This window comes from Homo sapiens, chromosome 15 (genome assembly GCF_000001405.40).
Source record: "Homo sapiens chromosome 15, GRCh38.p14 Primary Assembly".
Taxonomy (NCBI): domain Eukaryota; kingdom Metazoa; phylum Chordata; class Mammalia; order Primates; family Hominidae; genus Homo; species Homo sapiens.
The window spans coordinates 99,474,324-99,478,527 of NC_000015.10; the positions used below are offsets into that span (position 1 = coordinate 99,474,324).

A 4,204-nucleotide genomic window follows, 5' to 3' on the forward strand; every position below is an offset into this window, starting at 1 on the left:
TGGGACGCCCAGATGAGTGAGGAACGCTGTGCCCTTGGAGGAGGCAGACACAGCCCCAAATAGTGTCAGGAAGTGAAAGGGGAAGGGAAGGGGGTGAAAAGTGCTGAGTGTGGGCTTTTCGGGGAGCTCCTCTGGTCAGCAGGGTTCCTCCAGGAGCCCAGGGCACAGGGACACCCAGTGGATGGGGCCACTGGGCCAGCATTGCCTACGCAGGAGAAAGGCAGGAGGGGGCCTTGTTTAAGCTCTGTCCCCTTCTATGGCTCTCTCTCAACCTTAAAAACAGGAGACACAAAACCTTCCCTTTGTTTCTACCATTGGAGCATAACGAAATCTGTGATGAGAGCTGGGGCTCAAGCCATTCCGCGGCTGTGACCTCTTGTTTCATGGCCGTTGCCCGAAGGCGCAGAACGTGGGGCTTGAAATTTTGTTCTGCTGTCTGCTTCTCGGCTTAGTTTCTTTGGACTTCTCTGAGTCTTGTTTCTCCCTGCTTAGAAAAAGGTGATAAACGATAGCCACTATCTAGGATATGGAAATTCAATAAACCTATGAATATACCGATAAAAGAATCACATATACGTACAGTATACGCATACACTACATTGACATATGCATGTGTGACTATACACACCACACCTTCTGCACGCCCCCCCCGCAGAGCCTGGAGTGCCCCTGGCCGTGGCTCCCTGGCCCGAGTGTGACTCAGATCCTTAGGGCAAGGACAGCTGCCCCTGTCCCCGGTGGGCCTGCCTCTCTCACCCCCACACTCTGACCCACTCCAGGCTGACAGCAGCTGGGGCCCCCTGGGATGGGCCAGAGCTCCGGCAGCTGCTCCTGGATGGGAACTTGGAGGCCTGACCATGGACGGAGTGCTCCCTGTGCGGGCCCCGGACCTGGAACGCCCACTTGTGAAACCCCAGCCTGCTGACCTTCGGGTCATGGCGCAAAGTGAAGCCTGCCTGTGACTTGGAGGCAGGAGGGCGACTGGAGTGGCGGGAAATGATGGCAGCCATCTGGCTGTGCTATTTACCCTGGCTGCGAAGCCACCCTCCTCCAGCTCTTCTTTTCCCTTCCCTTCAGCATCCTCGCCCCAAGCATACTGCCACGCCCACTGACAGCGATCAAATAATAACAGCAGCAGCGACATGTCCTGAGCTCCCACTGTGTGGGGTGTGCATTCTCCCCTTTCTTGTCACTCTCCCTGGGTCCCTCCTGCCTCCCTGGCTGCACCTCTTCAGTCTTCTGTGCTGGACCCCTCGTCTGCCCAGCCCTGGCCTAGCTCACTGACGGCCGTGTGGTTCTGGCCTGAACCAAACTCTGTCCTCTGCTTGGTTTTCACCCACCACTGGACGTGCTCTAGAGGCACAGGGCTGTGTTGACTGTGTAATGTCTAGAACCTAAGCGCCAATGGGGTGGCCTAGCCCTGGCACAGACGCGATACCCAGGAAATGAATGAGTGCATGAAGAAACAGAGGCTCAGAGAGGGCGAGTCACTTGTCCAAAGCCACAGAGCTGGAGAGTGGTGGAAGGAGGGTTCAGACCCCCTGTCCGGAGGTCCCCTTCCCTTGCCCCACCACCTCCACAAGGAGTGCCTCACCTCTACTGTCAATCACTCTCTACTTCCCCTCCCTCCCCACCCCAGATAGCATTACCTAGGGGCACCGAGGGGGTTCGCGGGCCCCACTGGCCCAACCTGTGGCCTTTCTTAAGCTGAAAAACCTGCTGAAGGAGAAAATGACCACGTTACCTATAAGCAGGAGCATCTGGGTAGGAGCCCGGGGAACATCTTCCTTCTGGCTCCTTCCAAAACCCCAGAACCCAGTGCACGGGCAGCCTTTTGAAGACAGGCGAGCTGGCTCTACCTGTCTTTCTGATTTGAAATCTAGGTCACTCACTGCCTCCCCTCCTCCTTTAGAAGATCAGCAGGATATCTTCTAGGGTCTCAGAGTGAGAGAGGGGACGACAGGGAAAAGCGTTTCAATGGAACCCACACCCTGCCTGCGGCTGTCAGGAACACTTCATTTTGGAAGCCAGTATAATTTATGAGATGCAAATGGATTTAGCACTAAAAAAGAAAAAAAAAATCTTGGAAAAGGTACAAAGTGCACCTCACACCCTGTGTCGAGGCGTGTTTGGGGCTCTGTTAATCATCTCAGACAAAAGAGATTTAATCTCAGGCTAGCTGATCCTGAGAGTGCCAGCATCTCTCCCCAAGCCCAGGAGGCTTGCCCGGGAAGATGCAGGCCTGGCCTCTGTGCAGGCTCCGGGGCTCCGGTGCACGGCACTTGTGTTCAGCTCTTGTCTGAGTCACGCAGTAGATGAAATTACGGAGGTTCCTGCACATGATGAATCAGAAAGCAGGATCAAGCCAAATATTTGGACAAGCCTTGCCTCGCATAGAGCAGGATGAAGACTTCACAGCCAGCAAGCAGCCTGCCAGCAGCAAGCCCAGAGACTGTTTCTGACGAAGTGCTGCCGTGGGGTAAGCTGCAGCTCAGGAGGGAATTAGCTCAGACCCATGAAGCCACCGTGCAGTTGGATCTCTTGGCCAGCGCTGGGCAAAGGGGTGTGTGAGCATCCCAGGGCCCTGAGCCGTGATTCAGTCTTGGGCTCAGAAGAGGGGTCTTGTCACGGTGCAGCGTGCAGGGTGGGGGACGTGGGTTGGGGGAGGAGATGGTTCACTTTGAGTCACCCTCTCAGCCTTCTCTTTCTGGGAGTCTTCAGACAGCAGGCAGCGTTTCCTGCAGCAGCGGGGAGACCGCGCGGCCCTCCCCACGCTCCCGCCTGGGCCCTGGTGGGGGATGCAGGCAGACACGGCGACCACAAAATGGGGAAGGAAGTGAAGCCATGAGTGCCTTGGCAAGGCTTTAAATACTTTGAGGGCTCTCACCAGAGGCCTAATTGCTACCCTTTGGAGCTCCAGAGTTAGTTTTTCAAGGTTGTTTGGAACAATAAAACCCGTAATAACAATGCTACCTTAGATTTGTCTGGAACCTTTTTATTTTGTAAATTAACTTTTGAAAGAACTCAACATTCTTGGGTTTATTTTAAGCTACTTTTCTCCTTCGCAAGGATGCTTCCAGGCACTAAAATAGTCTGCATTGGAGAGAACAAACAAATCCCTACAAGTAAACAGTTGATATTGATGACTAGCAACAGTAGCTAACATGGGCTGTGGACTGACCCTGTGCTAGGCAGACCCCTGCTCCATGATTCACAAGAAAATGGCTTGTCTGAGCTTCACTAGAACCCCTATGAGGTGGGTGCTATTATGTCCCCATTTTGCAGTTGAAGAAACAGGCTCAGGGAGGTTATTATAACTTCCCAAGGCCACACAGCTAGTGTTGCACAGCCAAAATTTAAACCCAGGTGGTCAGACATCCAGCTCATATTCTGCCTCCCGACAGCCCTGATGTTGCACAAACTCATCAGCCAAATGACCCTGAGAACAGGTTCAAGCCATACTTCGATGAGGTCACACTTGATGGCTGCCTTCAGGAGCCTGGCCCGCTCTCCAAGCTTGGAGAACGAAGCTGGGGAGATGGCTTCCTGAAAGGAGGTTAACCACAGGTGAACCAGAGTCTAAGCCCACGTGGGCCAGCCCTGCTTCCCTGGAGAGAAGACTCAGCAAAGATCTTCCTACCTGGGCACCCTCTGAGAAAGCAATGCTGCTGAGCTTGCATGAGAGAGCAGAGCAAAGGCCTGCAGTCCACGGCCAGAGCCCTGGCTCAGAGCCTGGCTGGGGCCCTCATTAGGTGTGAGGCTACTCCTGTTAGTGTTGCTGCATAAAGTCCCAAACTTGGTGGCATAACGCCGCCATTTATTGTATTCACAGATGCTGTGCTTCGGGAATTCGGACAAGGTGCAACAGCGTCTACTTGCTTCATGGTGTCTAGGGCTTCATCTGGGGACGCTTGAAAACAAGGGTTGGGGGATGTGACTTGACAGCTGGGGGCTGGAACAATCTGGAGACATTTTTGCCCACGTGTCTGGTGGTTGATGCTGGCTGTCAGCTGGGACCACAGCTGGAGCTGTCACCAGAATACACAGAAGCGTCCTCCCCATGTGGCCTGGGCTTCCTCATGGGCCTCAGGGTAGTCAGACTTCTTGTGTAACAATTATATTCATTTTCTAGGGGTGCCATAGGAAAGTACCACAAACCGGGTGGCTTAGAACAACAGAAAGTTATCACCTTACAGTTCTGGAG

At 53.9% G+C, this 4,204-nt stretch overlaps 4 annotated features.

The window, feature by feature from the left end:
- Positions 1 to 677: an enhancer, noted in NCBI's record as "H3K4me1 hESC enhancer chr15:100014529-100015205 (GRCh37/hg19 assembly coordinates)". NCBI's record gives its function as "activates a minimal SCP1, AML or CMV promoter by ChIP-STARR-seq in primed H9 embryonic stem cells {active_cell/tissue: H9 hESC(primed)}" and the evidence as "EXISTENCE:reporter gene assay evidence [ECO:0000049][PMID:30033119]".
- Positions 678 to 1,353: an enhancer, noted in NCBI's record as "H3K4me1 hESC enhancer chr15:100015206-100015881 (GRCh37/hg19 assembly coordinates)". NCBI's record gives its function as "activates a minimal SCP1, AML or CMV promoter by ChIP-STARR-seq in primed H9 embryonic stem cells {active_cell/tissue: H9 hESC(primed)}" and the evidence as "EXISTENCE:reporter gene assay evidence [ECO:0000049][PMID:30033119]".
- Positions 781 to 1,075: a silencer, noted in NCBI's record as "tiled region #3369; HepG2 Repressive DNase matched - State 9:DNaseU". NCBI's record gives its function as "represses a minimal TATA promoter and a strong SV40 promoter by Sharpr-MPRA in HepG2 cells {active_cell/tissue: HepG2}" and the evidence as "EXISTENCE:reporter gene assay evidence [ECO:0000049][PMID:27701403]".
- Positions 2,261 to 2,555: a silencer, noted in NCBI's record as "tiled region #6154; K562 Repressive non-DNase unmatched - State 21:Repr". NCBI's record gives its function as "represses a minimal TATA promoter and a strong SV40 promoter by Sharpr-MPRA in K562 cells {active_cell/tissue: K562}" and the evidence as "EXISTENCE:reporter gene assay evidence [ECO:0000049][PMID:27701403]".